The sequence below is a fragment of the Homo sapiens genome, chromosome 10 (genome assembly GCF_000001405.40).
Source record: "Homo sapiens chromosome 10, GRCh38.p14 Primary Assembly".
Classification (NCBI taxonomy): domain Eukaryota; kingdom Metazoa; phylum Chordata; class Mammalia; order Primates; family Hominidae; genus Homo; species Homo sapiens.
The window spans coordinates 87,396,429-87,416,191 of NC_000010.11; the positions used below are offsets into that span (position 1 = coordinate 87,396,429).

Consider the following 19,763-nt stretch of genomic DNA (forward strand, 5'->3'; position numbering starts at 1 on the left):
CTGTGGTTTCCAGTTGTGGGGACTTGGCAAGGTCACACCCTCCCCTGAGCCTCAGTTTCATCACTCAGAAAATGAGGATAACAATTCTACTTGCCTCATAGGATTGTTGTGAAGATTAAATGAGACATGTAAACATTTGCTTATAGTAATTTCACACCACTTTATTGTGGAATCAAAGACAGAATTCTTACAGAGGTCTTGGTTAGTTAAGAAAACATCCATTCAAAGATTTGATTCACAGGACACCCTCACTGTCTTTCTCTTTTTTTTTTTTTTTTTTTTTTTGAGACAGGGTCTCACTTCGTTGCCCAGGCTGGAATGCAGTGGTGTGATCTCAGCTCACTGCAACCTCTGCCTCCCAGGCTCAAGAGATTCTCCCACCTCAGCCTCCAAGTAGCTGGGATTACAGCCATGCACTGCCACCCCTGGTTAATTTTTGTATATTTTTTAGAGACGGGGTTTTGTCATGGTGCCCAGGTTGGTCTTGAACTCCTGGGCTCAAGCAATCCACCTGCCTCAGCCACCCAAAGTACTGGGATTACAGGCGTGAGTCACCACACCTGGCCCTTGCTTACTTTCGTACTTCCCATGAGGCAGGTTACCAAATTGGTGAAATTAACCATAACGTCATTGTGGTGGGCAAGCAGATATATTAAAAGCAAAGATACAGCAGGTTAACATTAAATTTTGCTCATCCCAGGACAAACCTGGCCACAGGAGGCCTTTGCCAGTATTCTGAAAAGTGTTGTGACCATCTCCTTTAAAGCTCAGTTAAAGGTTTCTGGCTGGACTCCAGGCTGCTTCAAGCTCTTTGCTTGTCTTTATCATTCTTTAAGGAGGGACCCAGACACAGTGTGCAGAGGCCTGAATCCTCCAGACCATTCTCTCTCCACCATGAGTCCTGCCGTGGGGACCTTTCCGGCTCCCTTTGGCCTTATGAGCCAGAAAATCAGGCTAGAGCCTAAAGAGAACAGAAATTTCATAATCAGGCCTGTTCTGTGACTGTATGGGGGAGCTGAAGGACACAATGGGCTTTCTATATTGGAGACTACCCATCATACTCTCTCTGACCAGGGAGAAAGGACAGATGCTGTGTGATTTTGCAGTCTGTGATTTGGCTTCTTATTCTCGCTGCTCTCTACACCTCATTATTTACTTCACTCCCCTGAAAAAAATGCTCCCTAACAGGCTCAGTACCCAACTTCTGGGTATTGCTGCCCACATTTGCCTTGGTTCTACCTTTTCAGATTGCAGGATCCTGAGGTTTTGCTTGGAGCAACTCAGATTCTCCACTAGATCTAAGATCTCACCTAGTCCTGAGGATTTCCTTAAAGGGAAGGGGAAATTAGATAGATAGATAGATAGATAGATAGATAGATAGATAGATAGACAGACAGATAGTTGCTGCCTTTGCTCTACAGCATCTGCTTGGTGAAGAGGCTCAGGATCTGGATCCTGGCCTCTCAGCTCTCAGGAACCCCATTCCCCCCTGACAGGGGTGGCAAGTTCATCCTATTATTCATTAAGAAATTTGAAAACAATCATTCAGGAATTTTAGGTCAAGAGCTGGAAAACCCCAAGCCTCCGTCACCTGAGCAAAGGGAGATACTGTGAGAACCTGCAGGATACACCCATGTTCCACCACCTGCCCGAAGAAGCCTGTGGTTCTTGTCAGCTTCTCAAGGGTGAAGCGCAGATCATTTTCTGCTTGAGCAGAAGAGCAGACCAAAGAGCTCATTGACTCAAGGAGCATCACGGCAACTGAGCTGCACCTGGAAGAGAAGAATCCAGGGTGTGATCCATAGCCAAGGCCTGAAGCAATGGGGCCCATACTTGGCCTCTCCAGGGTGAGTTGTGACCCAAGTGCTGGGCTTTAGCCCATGAGTGGTCCCTCTTGCCATTTTGTTTCCTCCCAAAGAGAAGCCAGTGTTGGTGATTTCATTTCTCATAATCTCCTTAGGAGCACAGGTTTTGGTTTGTGCCTTTTTTGGATCAGGTTCCCTGCATTGCAGCTGCTATAATTAAAACTATTAACAACAACACAGCACCACAGAAGCAAGTTAGTTGCTAATGGAATTTGCTGATAATGCTATCTTCTAGAGACCACTCTAGTAACTGGAGAGCCTTGGTGTAGAGCTGATGATAAAACCTGTTCCTGCTTTTGTCAGCCATGAGGAGCATTTCCTTTCTAGACAGAGGAACTGAAACCCACATGCCAGCCCAAATTTACCAAAAGCAGTCACTGGAATACTCATCACACCATCATGTCTCATCTTATCCCTTTCGTTACCTTCAAATACGGCCCCATTTCCTCAGGACCAGAACTCCCTTATGTGGGCAGCAGGACTAAGGCCCTTGAGTTACCTGTAGTGACTCCTCATCAAATGGAGGAATGTGCCAGTATTTTCGGCAAAACATGAATCTGATGAAACACTGACTGAACTGTCTCCTAGTTTCAAAACAAATTATTACCACTTAGGGCCTCTATTTAGGGCAATCAGAGTCAGAAGTGGGAACGCATCTTGTCCTCCTACCTTGATTAACAGTAACTCTAGTTGCAGGATGATGGTCAAATCCTCTCTCCTCTAATGTGCAGTTGTGAAGGATTTAGGCTCCACTGCTCCTGCATTTGGGTGGGGCCTGAATCACTTTCAGTCTAGCACAGGCGGGTCACTTCAGGCCTTCCCACCTCCATCAGCATCCTTCAATCCTCCCCTGACATCTCTCATTTATGCTTCCTATTGATTCAGAGATCCCATCCCGAGTGGCTAAAAGAAACATTCATTAACCTTTCTACAAAGTCATGAATAATCCATGGATTACATTGAATTCATCCCTACTAAAACCATCTTCAGAAATTCAGATGTAGTAACCTTCTTTCTGAATTTTTTTTTTTTTTTTTTTTTGAGATGGAGTCTTGCTCTGTCACCCAGGCTGGAGTGCAGTGGCATGATCTCAGCTCACTGCAAGCTCCACCTCCTGGGTTCATGACATTCTCCTGCCTCAGCCTCCCAAGTAGCTGGGACTACAGGCACCTGCCACCATGCCCGGCTAATTTTTTGTATTTTGTTTAGTAGAGACGGGGTTTCACTGTGTTAGCCAGGATGATCTCGATCTCCTGACCTCATGATCCGCCCACCTCGGCCTCCCAAAGTGCTGGGATTACAGGCGTAAGCTACCATGCCCAGCCAAGTATTCTATTCTTAATGAACACATATATGCATAATATATCTATTTTTTATAATATATATATTTAGAATTGAATGTCAGAGTACATATCAGTGTTGGAGGAAGGGAATAAGGAGGAAGCACAGAAAGTAAAAAGGAAAAATAGGCACCAAAAAAGATTTGGAGAATGGCAGATGGCCAAGGAGATGCAGCTGGGAAGTGCCTCTTCCATGGAGAGGAACATAATATCTAGTAAACCTTCACATTTTAAACAGATCTTTTGAGAGAAAACACTGAAAGTTGACACAGAGGTGACACAGACACCATGGTTGAAGAGGGAAGAAATGGGGCAGTCTGCTCAGAGTCACTAGACACCAGGACTGGCCCATATACCCTGAACAAACCCAAGGAAGGGGTGAGTGAAGAAACCCTGGGACACTACATACCCATAATGTATCTCTGAGATCCTAGTTACAGGAGTTTCTACGACCCTCATAGATCTTTGGACTGGTAGGAGAGCTGCCTCGAGCACATGCAGAGGCACAGTTTGAACCCACACAGAGCCCAGAAGGCTTTGTTGTGCTGTGCAGCTGCAGCAAAATGCAACCCTAGGTGCCCATCCCACAAGTCTCCATTTCATACTGAGTGGCTAAGTTCCTGCTGTCTGCCAGGCTGGGAGTGAACCACGCCTGGCCGGCTCACATGCCCAAGATAGGCCCCATCACCAATGCTGTGTGATTAAGTTGCATCTGGTCCACATGCCCCCTTGCCTGTCAACCCCTTCCCAGACCTCATGCCTGGTCACGCCTGCAAGAGGGTGTCCACAGCACAGCATCCACTGCATAGCTTGAGTGTTTTGTTGACAGCCTGGGAAAAGCTCACCACCCTGTCCCCAAATCACAGCCAGTGCTTGAAGCTTAGAGGCCAGAGGACAAATCCGTGAGCCCAGTCCCAACTCCCCAAGACTCAAGTATACCACCCAGGGACATTGAGCTGAGATTTGTAACCTAATCTCAAGTGAAGGAGGATCCTCCATAGTCAGAATGCAGAGAAGGGTGTGGTATGGGTTCTCATGGGGGCATGGGAGCTGGACGCCCCTCCCTTTGCAAGACCAGACCATGAAGGGTATGGCCTGATGGTGGTAGCTTCTTTCCCAGGGAGTGTCCTTGCACAGAATGCCTGGAGCAGCTCAACAATGTGGGAGCAGATAGCTTGGGGAAAGCCTAGTTGGTTGGGCTTGCCGCCAGGGCGAGTGTCTGTGGGAGATCTGCTGGGTCAGGGGAGTGTAAGCTAGGCAGACTCCATGGTTGCCTGCTGGGCTGAAAATCATGGGCTGCAGACTCCATACTGGTGTTGCACCCATTGTGCCACTGCCCTGCCTGGAGATCCTCTACCCTTGAAATACTGCATCATCAGAGCAACTGCAGACATACCCTAAAACCTGCTCTGACTTTGGTAAGCACAGTGGACTGGTGGGTCTCTGGAGAGTTGTGTGTCCCTAGAGATGTAATCCTCAGTGTGGACCATCCCTAGGGGAAGGGGGAGTGCAGCCTGCCAAAGCACAACATGAGACAAAGAAAATGCGACCATGGCATAAGCCACTGAAAGGAGCACCACCAAGGCCCAGAACCAGACTTGGAGAAGGAATTATGTCTCACCTCCATCTCCCCTCCCCAGTGCACTGTTGCAGATGCAAAAATAGCTCTTCCCATAGGGGCCCAGAAAGCATGCACTGAAAGAAGTTGTTTCTCATGATTCTCCAGTGAGGGCAAGCATGCACCAAGACCCCACCTGCCAGCTCTTACTCTTAAGTCCATCTACCAGATTGAAGTTTGAGTTATACCATCATATAAAAATACATTGCTAAAACAAGCAACATCTGTGAAAGCCACTGCAGCAACCTATCTGTAACCAAGGAACATATATGGAAACTTCACCGTCTGCAACTACCCAGAAATGAAGCCAATCAATCACATACACCACAGTCATACTTTCAAAGAGAATAAAAAATATAAAAGCCCTGTGATGGTTAATACTGAGTGTCAACTTGATTGTATTAAAGGGTGCAAAATATTGTTCCCGGGTGTGTTTGGAGGGTGTTGCCAAAGGAGATTAACATTTGAGTCTGGACTAGGAGAGGCAGAACCACCCTCAATCTGGGTGGGCACCATCTAATCAGCTGCCAGCATGGCTAGGACAAAGCAGGCAGGAGAAGGCAGAAGAGCAGACTTGCTGAGTCTCCTGGCTTTCATCTTTATCCTGTGCTGGATGCTTCCAGTTCTTCAGCTTTTGGACTCTTGGACTTACACCAGTGGTTTGCCAGGGGCTCTCGGGCCTTCAGCCACAGACTGAAGGCTGCACTGTCAGCTTCCCTACTTTTGAGGTTTTGGGACTCGAACTGGCTTCCCTGCTCCTCAGCTTGCAGATGGCTTATTGTGGGACTTTACCTTGTGATCATGTGAGTCAATGATCCTTAATAAACTCCCCTTCAAATGTACATCTATCCTATTACTTCGGTACCTATAGAGAACTCTGACTAATACAAACCCCATCTAAATGAATCAAATTCAAAAAAGAAGTGTCAACTCCCGCAGATGGAAAGGAATAAGCACAAGAAGTCTGGCAATACACAGAGCCAGAGTGTTTTGTGATCTCCAAAGCCTCTCACTAGCTCCCTAGGAAAGGATCCTGACCAGATGTAAATGTCTGAAATGAGACACATAGAACTCAGAAGATGGATGTCAAGGAAAGTCAATGAGACATAAGACAAAATAGAAATCCAATGCAAAGAAACCAGAAAAACAGTCCAAGATTTGAAAGACAACATAGTTATATTAAGAAAGAGCCAAACTGAAGTTCTGGAACTGAAAAATTCACTAAATAAATTTCAAAATATAGTTGGGAGACTTAAAAACAGACTAGGCCAAGCAGAAGGAAACATTTCAAAGCTTGAAGACTGATTCTTCAAATTAACCCAGTCATGCAAAAATAAAGAAAAAATATTTTTTAAAAAGACAAAGCCTTCAAGAAATATGGGATCATGTAAAGAAACCAATTCTACCACGTATTGGTATTCCTGAGAGGAAAGAAAGAGTAACCAACTTGGAAAACATATCTGAGGAAAAAATTCAAGAAAATATTCTCAATTTTGCTAGAGATGTTGACATGCATACACCAGAAATCCAGAGAACCCCTGTTATATACTATAAAGACAGCCATCCCCAAGACACATAGTCGTTAGACTATCTAAAGTTAACACAAAAGAAAAAACAAATCTCAGACACAGCTAGAGAAAAGAGCAACACTACCTACAAAGGGAACCCATCAGACTAACAGTGGACTTCTCAGAAGAAACCTTACAATCCAGCAGAGATTAGAGGTCTATTTTTAGTACTCTAAAAGGAATGACATTCCAGCATAAACATTCATATTCTTCAAAACTAAGCTTCATAAACGAAGGAGAAATTGAGTCTTTCTGAGTCAAGCAATCGGTAAGGGAATTTATCACCACCAGACTAGCCCTGCAGAAATGCTTAAGGGAGTTCTAAATGTGGACATGAAAGAACAATACACAGAAAAAGCACAGTTAAGTACATAGTCCACAGACTCTATAAAGCAACTACACAATTGAGACTGCAAAGAAACTAGCTAACAAAACTATGACAGGAACACAATCTCACATATCAATGTTAACCTTGAACATAAATGGCCTAAATCCTCCACTTAAAAGACATAGAGTGGCAAATTGGAATAAAAAAATCAGAATCACCCATCTGCTGTCTTCAAGAGACCCATCTCACAAGTAATGACACTCATGGGTTCAAAGTAAAGGGATAGAGAAAGATTAATCATGCAAATGGAAAACAAAAAAGAGCAGGAGTTTCTATTCTCATGTCAGAGAAAACAGATCTTCAGCCAAAAACAGAAACAAGGACAAAAAAAGTTATTGCATAATGACAAAGGGCTCAATTCAATAAGAATAATTAACTATCTTAAATAAATATGCACCCAACATTAATTGGAGCATCACGATACATAAAGAAATCACTACTAGACCTAAGAGGTAGACAGCCCCTCAGTAATAACTGGGAACTTCAACACTCCACTGACAGTGGTAGATAGATTATTGAGGCAGAAATCTAAACAAATAAATTCTGGACTTAAATTTGCCACTTGACCAATTGAACCTAATAGACATCTACAGAATACTCTACCCAACAACCACAATATACATATATATTTCCCATCTTCACATGGAACATACTCTAAGAGTGATCACATATGCAGTTATAAAGCAAGTGTCAAGAAATAAAAAAAATCAGATAATATCAAGCATCTTCTTGGACCGCAGTAGAATAAAAATAGAAATCAATAGCAAGAGGAACTCTAAAACACAGACACGCACACACAAACACACACGGAAACTAAAGAAATTACTCTTGAATGACTTTTGTTTGGGTAAACAATAAAATTAAAGCAGAAATCCAAGAATTTTTTAAACAAATGAAAATAGAGACACAATGAACAAAAACCTCTGGGATGCAATAATGGCAGTTTAAAAAGGAAAGATTATAGTGCTAAATACCTACATCAAAAAGATAGAAATATCTCAAATTAACAACCTAACATTGCACCTAAAGCAAGTAGTAAAACAAGAAAAAAAACTATATCCAAATATAGCATAAGAAAAGAAATAACAAAAATAAGAACAGGACTGAATAAAATTGAGACTCAAAAATCCACACAAAGGATCAACAAAATGAAAAGTTGGTTCTTTGAAAGTGTAAACAAAATTGATAGACTGCAAGCAAGATTAACAAAAAAGATCCAAATAAGCACAATCAGCCATAACAAAGGCGACATTCACTCGAGTCCCACAGAGATTCAAAAGATTCTCAGAGACTACTATGAACATTTCTATGTGCACAACTAGATAATCTAGAAGAAATGAATACATTCCTGGAAACACACAACCTCCCAAGATTGAACCAGGAAGAACCTGAAACACTGAACAGACCAACAATGAATTACAGAATGAATTGAATAAGTAATAGAAGCCTGGGACTAGATGAATTCATAGCTGAATTCTACCAGACACACAAAGGGGAGCTCATGCCAATCCTACTGAAACTATTCCAAAAAATCGAGGACGAGAGATTCTCCTCTGACTTACTCTACAAAACCTATATCATCATGATACCAAAATATGGCAAATACTCACACAAAAAACAAAACCCTAGGCCAATATATCTGATGAACATAGTTGAAAAAAATCCTCAACAAAGTACTTGCAAACCACATTCAGCAGCACATCAAAAAGATAATACAATATCAAGTGAACTTTATTCCTGGGATGTAAGGGTTGTTCAAATATATACAAATCAGTTAATGTGATTCACCACATAAACAGAATTTAAAATGAAAAAAAAAAACATAAGATTATCTCCACAGATGCAGGTAAAACATTTGATAAACTCCAACATGCCTTCATAATTAAAACCCTCAATAGACTAGGCATTCAAAGAACATACCTAAAATAATAAGAACCATCTATTGACAAACCTAGTCTACATTATACTAAACAGGCAAAAGTTGGAAGAATTCCCATAAGAACAAGAACAATACAAGAATATCCACTTTCACCATTCTTATTCAACTTAGTACTGGAAGCCCTAGCCAGAATGATCAGACAAAAGCAAGAAACAAAAGGAATCCAAATAGGAAAAGAGGAAATTAAATTTTATTTCTTCACTGATGATAGGATTCTATACCTAGAAAACCCTAATGATTCTGACCAAAGACTCCTAGAGTTGATTAAAAATTTCAGTAAAGTTTTAAGATAAGAAATCAATATACAAAAAGCAGTAGTATTTCTATACAATGCAATATTCAAACTGAGAACCAAATCAAGAACACAATCCCATTTACAAGAGCCACAGAAAAAAAAAAAGAAATACTTAGGAATACCTCTATCCAAGGAGGTAAAAGATCTCTTTAAGTAGAACTACAAAACACTGCTGAATGAAATCATAGATGACACAAACAAATGGAAAAATATTACATGCTTATGGATTGGAAGAATCAACATCATTAAAATGTCTTTACTGCCCAAAGCAATCTACAAATTCAGTGCAGTTCCTATCAAACTGCCAAAGTTATTTTTACACAGAATTAGAAAATCAATTCTAAAATTTGTATTTAACTAAAAAAGAGCCTGAATAGCCAAAGCAATCTTAAGCTAAAAGAACAAAGGCAGGGGCAACACATTACCTGACTTCAAACTATACTACGAGGCTACAATAACCAAAATAGCATGGTTTGGGTACAAAAATAGACACATAGACCAATGGAACAAAATAGAGAATCCAGAAATGAAGTCCCATACCTACAACCAACTGATCTTTAACAAAATTGATAAAAATACAATGGGGCAAGGATACCCTATTCAATTAATGGTGCTGGGAAAACTGGCTAACCATATTCGGAAGAATGAAATTAGACTCCTGTCTCTCACCATATAAAAAAATTAACTCAAGATTGATTAAAGACTTAAATGTAAAACTTTAAACTATAAGAAGCCTAGAATTAGACCTAAGAAGCTCTTTTGGATATTGGCCTATGCAAAGAATTTATGACTAAGTACTAAAACACAAAAGCAACAAAAACAAAAGTTGACAAGTGAGACCAAATTAAACTAAAGAGCTTCTGCACACTTGCATGTTATATTGCAAATATGAAATAGCAAAGACATGGAATCAACATTGGTTTCCAACAATGGTGGATTGGATAAAGAAACTATGATGCATATACACCATGGAATACTATGTAGCCAGAAGAAAGAATGAAATCCTTTCCTTTGCAGTAACATAGATGTGCCTGGATGCCATCATCCTAAATGAATTAAGATGTAAACAGAAAACCAAATACCGCATGTCCTCACTTATAGGTGAGAGCTAAACTTTGGGTACACAGGAGCAAAAGGATGGAAATAACAGACACTGGGGCCTCCAAAACAGGGGAAGGAAGGAGGGCAAGGTTTGAAAAGCTACTTATTGGGTACTATGTTTACTATTCAGATAATAAGTTCAATAGAAGCCCAAACCTCAGCATCATGCAATATGTTCATGTAACAAATGTACACATGCATGCTTAATCTAAAATAAAAATTAAATAATCAAATAAAATGATTTCCATGAATAAAATGGTAGATATGATTATGTGGAAAATGCTTTACTATTTATTATGTGGTGAATAATTTAATAATATTTAATAAATACATGAATGAAAAATAGCTACAACTGTGTGTTAGGATTTCAATAATTTTTTATTTCATTCCTAATAACTTTTATGTATTATTATATACATAATAATATATATAGTTAATAATAACAAAAACAACATGGTATTGAAATAATTTCCACCCAGACGGAGGATCAACATATTTAAGTGATTACACTACTCAAGATAAAAATCATTTATCAAACAGATCAAAGTCATTTACCTGCTTTCCTTTTTATAGGTCCTAGGAACACACGTGCCACAGACAATAAAACATCACTTCCCCCATCCCACTACTTTGGACTTTATTTAACATCTTTGGGTAGAACAGAAACTGTTGATAAGGTGAGTTTTGTTTTATAGACAAGAGAGGAAAATGGATACTTTGTGTGGTCTGGGCCTTAGAAACAGACTAAGATCTTTTTTTTTCTATTTTGCTTTTTTTACTAGGATAAAATATTAATTGGCAAAACATCGAATACAAGCTTCACTATCATAAAATCAAAACATTTAAGCAATATTCCAAAAAAGATTTGACAAAAACTAGACACCAAGAGTACAAAAATTACACATCAACACAAAGCATAAAAAATGTGAACTTTCAAATTAAACAGTCAAAAACATGTACCTGCATGATCACCTCCACACCTTGACTGCCTTCGTCTGCAGCACGCTGCTGGTAAAGGCTGGGTGGCTGCACCGTCGTCCCCTAACCTAACATTGCTTTCATCTGTGAAAATTCGCTTGATAGCCAATTAAGCCATGGAGGCTATTACATTTACACGGAGGCTACGCACAATCTCAGGGGAGGCTCAAACAGCAGTTCGTTCCTCACACGCACTGTTGGGTGCAAAGGGCACCTGGAGAGTGAGGGAGACCTGGGCGCTTTCCTGCGGGGCCTTGGCCACGCGGCCGTCGCCCGCACCCTGTCCCTTGCCTGGCAGGGGACACAATATTTGTACAGATTATGGTATAATTTGAACGATTTCCTAATCTACTTATCTTAATTTATATAGTTTATTTAAATGTCAAGGCAGAGAAATACATTGCTCATGTTAAGGTCACGTGATGTGGTGGCGCAGTAATGACTTCCTGAGGAAACAGAGAAATTGGATGTTTTGTGATTTAGCTATGTGCACTAAACTTATTTTCCATGTTTTGAGAGCACATTAAACATTCACGTACAATGTGGGAATAGGCTGGCTCGTAACCAAAACGTCCAACCCAGTGCCACCCTTTGAATCGCTGCGAACACCATCCTATTGCGGTTCAGAGAAAACAAGCAAGGCTGCGAAGCCCGGGGGTTCAGGCAGCTGCAGCGCTTGGGCCAAGGTAGCTCCGCTCTCTGGTCTGAAGCCACGTGGCCCCACCCCGGGGCGGCCTGGCTTTTTTATATTGCTTATTGCTGTGTTTGGCATGCCATTCAACCCATCGGGATGTTGGATAGTGACTTGAGAGCAATACCTAGATTTGCCCTGTCGGGATGTTGCATACTGAGCTCGGAATAAGCCCTGCTCAATTGAGGCACTATCACTAGGAGGAGGCACTGATTCCCGCCTTTCAATGCTGTCTATTGGTGAAAGAGGAGTTGGATGGCATCTGGGAAATTAGTATCACTTCTACTTTTTCTTCTTTTCTTTTAAAGGTTAAAAATACCTTGTATTAGTTAATACTGCTATAAAATATGAATATCCAAATCTCTGTGGCTCAGTAAAATAGATTTTTTTTTCACTCAGAGAAAGTTCAGGTCCACCCTTAGTAACCCAGGCTGACAGAGACTCTTCCATTTTCTATACATAGCTTCCCCAATTGCCCAGAGAAGAGTGGAAAGATTTTATAGGTGACTGTACACAAGAATAAGAACTTAGTACCTAGTCACTAATTTACTCGTTGAATAAACATTTATGGAGCTTAACATATTAATCACTAGGCAGACGCTGGGACACAAGAAAAATCTTTAAGATATGTCACTGCTTATTACCAATAATGTTCTAGTGAGTAACGAGAGTTAATAATACGACTAATTATAGTATTGTAAATATAATTACAGTTCCAATAAGACATACACACACAGAGAACAATTTTATCTGGTGGTTGAGGAAATCTTTATTGATTTAAGATATCTTTTGATGAACAGGATTTTTCAATAACTATCAGAAAAAGAATGTCTATGACTTATTTTTAAAAATGATTTTCTTATCTGCCTTGCATATCTGACACTTTCATCTCCTATCTTCCTTGAATACAATATAGAACCTGACATTTCTTTCCTTTCAAAGATCCTTAGAGCATTTCCTACATTTAATCTGAATGTCTTTCTCAGTAATTTTTCCTATACAAGCAATTATGGCTACATTTTCTTAATATAATCATGAAAAGGTGAGCAAAACTGAAAATTTAATTTGGAGAATAGATACGAAACATATTCAATTAATTCAAGTTGTTGTTAGGCTGCATATGTTCAGCTTTCAGTGAAGATGAACAAATGATGATAAATGAGAAACTGAAAGAAAACAAACCAATAGGTGTTTTTTAAGAAACAATATTATTAAAGTGCATGTGTTTTCTACTGAATGAAAGCAACATAGACCTTTTCCTCACATTGGTAGTTAGTAAGATATATAAAAACAACTTTGTAAAGAACAATTAATACAGGTTAATGAATCATTGTGAAAAGGGGATAACACACTTTATTCTAGGAATGATCTGCAAGGTGTTAAAAGTTAAAAAAGATGAAGAACAATTGAGTAGTTATTTGATCATAGTGTTTATTAAATTGCTTTTCCTGTATCTGGAAAGCTTTACAGAAATGTCTTCAACAGAATAACTGTGTTAAAAGCCAAATGAAATGCATTATGAAATATGATTCTTCACTTGGTGTGCAGGTATAATCTCAGGTGTAATTCACACAAAGAGACAAATTCAATTTTAAAGTTCCATTTGTTACAATTTGATGATTGTGATTAAAGAACCATAAAAATTTTATCTTTGACATTTCATTTTTTCCTCACAAAAGCATTCTACTGTAATTTTCTTAGTTTTCTTTCCTCTTAACTGTGGTGTTACCTATAAATGCTGGATTTCTCTGTTTTACGTGCAACAAATCTACAATCAACTATTTCTGGAACACCACTTCATCTTAACAACAAGGACCCATAAATATTTTAAAAATTCAAAATGTTATATATAAAACGCTAAATGATACACATAATACATTTCTAAGTAGTAATTATGATTATGCCCATAATTATACCCATAATTTAAAAATATGTTACCTGAAGTAAATTATTATACATTTTATGTTGGAAGTGTTCATTTATCTTTGATCTCTGTTAACACATTGTACTATGTGGTAATAATATAAACTGCCTTACTGGATAGTGATGTATCTTTGGTTTCATATTGTTACTGGACTAATATTCCAACACTATAGATAGTGAAATTTAACATTGAAACAATTTGATAATGCCATCAATGAATCCAGTTTTTAAGAATGGGATCCATTTTCTAAAATTGAGTATATAGATACTTCATGAGATATCTTATCATGCATCCTAAACCAAACCAACCTCTTCCCCTGACTGTCTTACAGTGTATTATTATTTTATCCACCGCAGCAACTAGTACATTTTTCAGAACCTAGTAGATATTCAGTCATTGTCTATGGAATACATGAACACATTCTGAATTTGGACAGTCATCATTCTTGGTGTTTTAAAACAAACACTTCCTGAATTGCATCCACTATTTTCTAAGAAGCCCTAGGAATTCATTGAAGGAGGGTATGGGTAAGTTGGGGGTGAAACTGTAAAGATGTAGGTCCTCCTCCCAAAACTTCTTCAGCGTATCTTCATTGCTGTTTGTTTGTTTGCTTGCTTGCTTATTTTAAAAGAGATCTAGATATAGTCTAATAAGAATTGCATAAATGTGATGTTCCACAATGATTCTAACTTACATGGTGCAAAATAATAAAATATTACATTCTAGCTGTTTGTAGAAAACCATGGATACTATAAAGGATCTAGATTTTCTCTCTCCTTTCCTCCTAAGATTTATTCACTCAGCAAAGACTTACCTGGTGACTACTTAGTGCTAGACACTGTTTTAGATACTTGGGCTATAACAGTGAAAAGAACAGTAATTGAATTAACGAAAAGTTCATTTTAATTAGCTGTATGGTAAAATAGGAAACTAACAAAAATAAAATATAACATGTCAAATGGCAATGACTGCTCTGAGAAAAATAAAGGAGAATAAGAGGTTCTAAATTATTATATATGGCCAATATTACCAACATATTATAGAAAGCAATGAGTTCATAATGTTTATCAGAGAATTCCATGAAAATCGCTAAATTTTTCTAGAAAGCCAGGCACTGATAAGAGAATAAACAAACAGATAACCGATTTTAATTTGATCTTCTCTTACAGGTGCAGCTATGATCTGCCATTGTATATAATATAAAATTAAAAATTGTTTATATTTCATTCACGTTAGCATATAATGTTCTTACTTTTTTTTTTTTTTGAGACGGAGTCTTGCTCTGTCACCTAGGCTGAAGCACAGTGGCACAGTCTCAGCTCACTACAACCTCCACTTCCTGGGTTCAAGTGATTCTCCTGCTCCAGCCTCCCAAGTAGCTGGGACTACAGGCAGGCAACACCACGCCTGGCCAATTTTTGTATTTTATTAGAGACGGGGTTTCACCAAATTGGCCAGGCTGGTTTTGAACTCCTGACCTCAGATGATCTGCCTGTGCCTCGGACTCCAATAGTGCTGGGATTACAGGCGTGAGCCACAGTGCCCGGCCAACATTTTTACATTTAAATATCAGACATCTATCAGATTCCTTTCTCCCTACTACAAACATTGTATGCTTTTCGATAGGCATAAGATTTTGTTTTCATTCAGGTTGGATTCAACAAGTATTATTTAGCAGTTCATTGCATCTATCCATTTACCCAATAGAGGAAGTATACAAGATACAAATGAATAAAGTGTAATAATTCTTATACTATTTGCCCTTATGTCATGTAACTGCTCCATGTTTGTATTCCGAAAACCTAACTGGGAGGGAAAACTCAGAAAAATAGAATAAAAAGTATTATATATCTCATACATCCTCATTTTAGAATATTCTAGGGGTACAGATCAGTATAAATAAAATACTCTGGTAAGTGCCCACCACATCATCTGTTTGTCATTCTTAGACCCAGAGTATACCATTCTTTTAAGAAAGAAAACTTGCTACTGTACCTCCTACCCAGTAACATATATATCACATATCATATATATATCATAACATATATATCATATATCATATATACACATATCATATATCTCATATATATAACATATTTGCTACTGGTTAGGAGTAACACTCAGAAAATCACACTTAATAATGTAGTACAATTAGGTATAAATTCACTTAGTATTTTTAAATTTTACGTGTATTCCTATTTATATGAATGGTCATTTAAAATCACATCTACTGATCCTGATAGCATTAAAGGCATAAGAGGTACTGAGGATATTAATTTAATTTTGTTTACAGCTATGCACAGATATTTTTAGTTCACTCAGATTTAATCCAGTAGTCTATTATTTGATTAATTGTACAGCTATCAAATCATTCAGGACTCCCACTGTTTCAACAACGAGTGGAAAAATATTTTTTCATTTATGTTTATATGCAGCTATTTGTAGTCTAAATTAATATCCTAGCAATTGATGGTGAAATTAAAATTATTTCTGTCAGATATGGTAATTTGATGACAGTGGATAAGCATGGGAGTAAAAGAAAGTTTTGGGGAAGAGGGGACAGTTTTTGTTTACTTAATGATTATTCCAAAGATGTTAAGTAAACATTCTATAGAATGCTACAGATAGTGGAATACAGCATTGAAACAATTTAATAATGTAGTCATTGAGTCCAGTTTTTAGAAATGGGATCTATTTTCTAAAACTGAGCATACAGACACTTCATGAGATGCTTTATCACGCATCCTAAACCAAACCAACCCCTTCCCTTGACTGTCTTGCAGTGCATAGGGCATCTCTACACTCTAGGAAAGAAATTATCAATCTGTTTATATGCCACTTATAAAATCATACTTAATGTACGATTAGGCATAAATTTACTTGCATTTTTAAATTTTGTAAAATGTTAACGGTAAGTGTTCTTGAAAAATATTTCTGAGAATATTTTCCAAAAAATGAACAAATTTTAATACATAAGGGACAATATCTTTGTAGTGAATTGATTATCAGAGTGTAATGTGGTATGTTCTGATTATGTTACATAATATTCTGATTAGCAGAAAATTCTGAATAAGTGAATTTAGCAAAATGTTTAGAGGTCAAGAAAACTGTTTTAGACTGACTATGTTTTCTGACCCAAATGTAAGAAAGAACCCAATAAAAAGAGGCAGCCAGATAATGCTGTTGTTTGCAAACTTAAACAGAAGCTTGCATGTAATTTATGACTCAAAGAAAAATAAAAATAGAAGTTATACTTTATTTAGAACTTAATGACAGTGAAAAATTACACATAAAAAGGAAGACTGTTGAATACAGCAAAAGCTGGAATTATATAAGAAATATAAACATAAACACACAAAATAAGTGTAAATTATAATGAAGTAAAAATATATCAAAGAGAAAGAAGGAAGTAGTACAATAAAAAATAAAGCTGATTCTTTAAAAACCATAGTTAAATAGACAAATTTCCAGCCAGATTGTTTACCAAGTAAAGAGAAAAAGAAGGAGATAGATCAAAAGACACAAGATGGTGATGAAAAGAGGGTTAGCACTTATAAACATAGTAGAAATTTAAGCCATAATGAGCACAAGAAAGCATTATCAACTTACTTTTGAATATATAAAATAAAGACACTTAAAAAAACTGAACAAAAATGACTTACTAGTTTTAAAAGAAAAAAGAAAAAACATCAAACATCTATCCTTCCAAAAGTATAGACTTCAAAAGTATAGTCCCAGATGGGTGAACATAAACCACACTTTAAGCAAGAACTCTCCATTATAACTGCTTGCAATTTTAGAGGATACCAGCCACACTCCTGAACCAGAGCTTGGCACTGGCTATTCCCTCTGGAACACCCTTTTATTTCCTTCTCTAAGCAAAGACATGGAATCAACCTAAATGCCCATCAGTGGTCTGCTGGATAAAGAAAATGTGGTATATAAACACCATGGAATACTATGCAGCCATAAAAAAAGAACAAGATCTTGTTCTTTGCAGGGATGTGGATCTAGTTAGAGACCATTATCCTTAGCAAACTAACACAGGAACAGAAGATCAAACACTGCATGTTCTCACTCATAGGTGGGAGCTAAATGATTAGAACACACGGACACATAGAGTGGGGGACAACACACACTGGGGCTTTTTGGAGGGTGGAGAACTGGAGGAGGGAGAAGATAAAAAAGAATAACTAGTGGTTACTAGGCTTAATACTGGGGTGATGAAATAATCTGTACAACAAACCACCATGATACAAGTTTACCTATGTAATGAACCTGCACTTGTACCCCTGAACTTAAAAGTTAAAAATGAATGAAGCCTGTCAGAACCACCCATTTAGCAGTCTAACATTTTCCCTAGTATTCCCAAACCCCTTTGCCTAGCCAACATTTTCCACAGCACTTTTTGTCTTCAAACTACTGGCCTGAAGCAATCTGGCTTAGCTTTCTGAGTAGCTGGAATTGCAGGTGTACCAGTGTGCCCAGCCACAGTTTTTTCAAGACCTGTTTAAGATAACAGGTTAGAGAAAATCAAGATAATATTTTGAGGGGGAAGAAGGTAAAATCAATTAAGACAGGGTGCACAGAGTACTTGAATGGTACAGATAATGTTTATCCTTTGTACTAAATGGTGTGTATGTGGGAACTGATTATATTATTTTGACTGTTTGTAGTCATATTATATACATATGTGTATAAATAAAAATAAAAGAAAAAATATAAGCTAAATTTATAGATATATTAATTTTATTTAAATAGAACAAAGATATGCCAGTATTCAAATGTCTGCAATGATTCTTAAAATGCACAGAACCTGTGTTTAGGTACAGTATCACACTGTTCATCCAGGCTTCATTCACTCGAATCTACTCTTATCTAAAATTTGTACTGTAAGTAAAATTACATTCTGTATGACAGAAAGCAAATTATAATATTAGAACAACATTATGGAAAATTGGCATAACATTGTACAATCATCCATTACTTTATTATTTATCATTTTGCAACTTTTTATTATATTAGTAAAAAAAGTCTAACTGTACTTAATAGCTAATACATATGTTATTTGATATTTTTAAAGACCATTATTAAAATAATAATAATTTGGGGGTGAGAAGGCCTATTGAAAAATGACCAACGTGGAAATCATAAATAAGTTTGATGCAACAAATATTTGTGAGTCTTATAGTTAAAAATGTAAAAATTCATTATAAACAAAGCTAAAAGACAATAATATGCATTGGGAAATATTTGCAACATTTACTTCAAGGGTTGATGTCCTTAAGAGAATTTTTACAAATTAATAAACATTTAAAAAGGTGAGGAATGGCAATAGCTATGAGAGACAATTTACAAAAACATAAAAAATATGAAAACTGTTTAATCTGTAAGTACATCAATAAAAATTTTATTATAGTAGTTATGTTATCTATTAAATTAGGAAAGGTCAATACAATTGGTAATCTTCCAAGCAAATATAGGGGAGAAGGGCTTTCTCATACACTTATAAGAATATTATTTTGTTAGAATGCAATTAAATAAACACTTGGTAAAAATCTATATCCTTTGTCCAAACAATTTCAGTTCTAGACCTCTAGAATCCACATATACATATACATATATACATACATATACACACACACATTCATACCTATATATTAACAACTCAAATCCAGCTCCAACTCTTTTGTAAGTAGTATTTTGTCCAACAAATAAATTTATCTCAAATTCTTCTTGACTTTCCTCCATTATAGAGCCAGCAATTCTACGTGTAACTCTACCTCTAATTCCTTTATTTGCATTTATTTCTGCTTTCAAACCCTTATATGAGGCAAGTGGGATTAATTTATTTCATTACCTTAACTAGATTCATTGCTTTACTTTGTCAAACTCTGATTGATTTGCTCAACTCAATCTTATGTGTTCAAGAACTTAATGTGGATTCCTGTTCCACCTTATGAAAGTCTTTTCCAAAAACTTGCTAAATTCTTGACTCAAGACATTCCAGTCAGTAATGCATTTCTCTCCTCAAATACAATGGAACTGTGTTCTAA

At 37.4% G+C, this 19,763-nt stretch overlaps 1 long non-coding RNA gene across 1 annotated transcript; it reads right to left on the bottom strand.

Annotated features, from left to right (window-relative positions):
- Positions 1-145: 145 nt before the first annotated feature.
- FAM245A (family with sequence similarity 245 member A) lies at positions 146-11,272 on the bottom strand. The gene is made up of 3 exons (NR_046091.1): positions 11,075-11,272; positions 1,592-1,772; positions 146-961 (listed from the first exon to the last, which is right to left on the bottom strand). It is a non-coding gene; the product is annotated as a family with sequence similarity 245 member A (long non-coding RNA).
- Positions 11,273-19,763: the final 8,491 nt, after the last annotated feature.